The sequence below is a fragment of the Homo sapiens genome, chromosome X, assembly GCF_000001405.40.
Source record: "Homo sapiens chromosome X, GRCh38.p14 Primary Assembly".
NCBI classification, from domain to species: domain Eukaryota; kingdom Metazoa; phylum Chordata; class Mammalia; order Primates; family Hominidae; genus Homo; species Homo sapiens.
In genome coordinates, this window is record NC_000023.11 from 19,192,636 (window position 1) to 19,195,277 (window position 2,642).

At 44.0% G+C, this 2,642-nt stretch overlaps 1 annotated feature.

The window, feature by feature from the left end:
- Positions 2,076–2,175: an enhancer, noted in NCBI's record as "active region_29462". NCBI's record gives its function as "activates an Ori minimal core promoter by ATAC-STARR-seq in GM12878 lymphoblastoid cells {active_cell/tissue: GM12878}" and the evidence as "EXISTENCE:reporter gene assay evidence [ECO:0000049][PMID:35858748]".

Here is a 2,642-nt window from a genome sequence, read left to right on the forward strand (position 1 = left end):
AGCCAGTGTTTGGAGCTTTAGTTGACCAAAGCAGGCAGATGCCATAGAAACTACTCAGGATCTCACTCTGCTGCCCCACTGGAAGAGATAACCACTCAGAAGACACCAGCAGCATTGTCACTATTGCCTCTCAGAAGAAGCAGCATTTTTTTTTTTTTTGAGATGGAGTCTCACTCTGTTGCCCAGGCTGGAGTACAGTGGCATGATCGGCTCACTGCAACCTGTCCACCTCCTGGGTTCAAGCAATTCCCCTGCCTCAGCCTCCTGAGTAGCTGGGATTACAGGTGGGCACCACCACGCCCGGCGAATTTTTGTATTTTTAGCAGAGACGGGGGTTTCACCATGTTGGTCAGGCTGGTCTCAAACTCCCGACCTCATGATCTGCCCACCTCGGCCTCCCAAAGTGCTGGGATTACAGGTGTGAGCCACCAGGCCCAGCCAGGAGCAGCATTTTTCAACTCTGACTGCACACTCAAATCACCTGGAGAACTTAAGAAAAAGAAATCGCTGGGCCCTGCTTCCAAGCAAACTGAATCAGAATTTCTGGATTTGAGGCTGGGCCCCTGCAGTTGCGAAAGCTCCCCGGGTGATTCTACTATGCAGTCAGGGTTGAGTCCCACTAACCTGAAAGAGACAAGCAATGTATTTGCTGACGTTTACCATTAAAAACCAATTCCGCTCAATGACCTACACCTGGTGATGGGGTGCATCTCAGCTTTGCGTGCCTTTGAACTTCCTACCCAATGACTCTCCTATCATCATTTCTTCTCTACCACTTCCCTTTCTTGCATTGACTGTTGATGAAATCCACATTTATTTACTGAAATCCATATGTATGTCAATTCCTGAAACAGTGTTTGCCAAAGGATAAACTATACAAGTCTATAGGATTTGTAAGGAATTCACTTCACTGAGGTCCTATATATAGTAAGTTAACTTAATATATGTCACTGGCCTCACTAGCAAATAAATAAATAAATAAATAAAATCAAAGACTGTCATTTATATTGCTTCTATACAGGGTTCACACTTCGCCATAAATATTGCAGGGCGCTGACATTCTGGTTTAATTTGCACATTCAAGTTCTCAAGAATTCGCTTTGATTTACATAGTCAGAGACTGCATGCTGTCACGCCTCTTGTATAGAGACCCCTTGTGGCGTTCACCTGATTGCCTCCTCGGTTTGTGTGGGAAACGTTCCATTTCTTTTACAGTAGGATGTACAGCTCCTTTACTGCACTGGTGGTTGTTAATTTCAATACATTTGGATAAAAATAACATCTAACATTTATGGAGTACTTTCTATGTGCCAAGTACGGTTTTTTGTTTTTGTTTGAGATGGGGTCACTCTGTTGCCCAGGCTGCAGTGCAGTGGCACGATCATGGCTCAGTGCAGCCTTGACCTCCAGGGCTCAAGCAATCCTCCCACTTCAGCCTCCTGAGTAGATGGGACTACAGGTGCCCACAACCACGCCTGGCTAATTTTTTAATATTTTGTAGAGACACGGTTTCGCCATGTTGCCCAGGCTGGTCTTGAATTCCTGGGCTCAAGTGATCTGCTTGCCCTCTGCCTCTCAAAGTGCTAGGATTACAGGTGTGAGCCACTGTACCCTGCTAGGCACCATTCTTAATGATCTGTATGCATTTGTTCATTTAATTCTTAACCCTATGAAGAAGATGATGATGATTGCCATTTTATAGGTGAAAAAACTGCGGCACAGAGAAGTTAAGTAAGGTCCTCAGGGTCATACACTTATTAAATAATAAAGCTAGAAATGGAACCCAGATCATCTAGTTCTAGAGTCTGGGCTTTTGGCCACTAGCATATACCACATCCCCCAGCAGGTGGGGCACCTGTTTAGGTACATTTTAGGAGAAAGTGTGGAGCCACTGGTACTCTCATCACTGCTGGTGGAAGTGTAAATTGATACAACTACAAACAAATTGTTTGGCAGTAGCTCCTAGAGCTGAACATGTAATTCCTGACCGTATACCCACCAAAAACGTACACTCATGTTGGTGAAAAGACATGAACTTGAATGTTTATAGCAGCACCACTCATAACAAGACTGCACTGGAAACTACCTGAATGTCCATCAACAGGAAGATGAGTAAATAAATTCTGGTGTATTTATACCACTATGCAGCAATGAGAATGAACAGTCTCCCAACTACCTGAGACAAGATGGGTAAAACTCATGAACGTAATGCAGACGGAAAGAAAACAGGAAAAAAGTACATGCTGGATGATTCTATTTATATGTAGTCCAAAGACAGGCAAGAAAGAACCTCTGCCTTTAGGGACCAAGCTATTGGCTACCCTTGGGGGTCAGAGTTGTGACTGGAAGGAGCAATTGGGATGGGGGCTTCTGGGGTGTGGGTAAAGCCCTGTTTCATCATCTGGCTACTAGCAGCAGGCGTGTGTTTCGGTTTTGAAAATTCAGCAAGCTGTAGATTGAGGTTAGATACACTGTTCTGAGTGTATGGTGTATAACACTAAGAAGTTTGAAAGGGTACTATGCTATCTGCGATCAGATGTTATCTTGGTTAGAAGAGTTAGGTAAATATCTTCAAATAAACGTCTATATTTAAGGAAAATTGTCACTGCAGGCAGTTTGCGACATCTCTAGTGTTTTCCCTA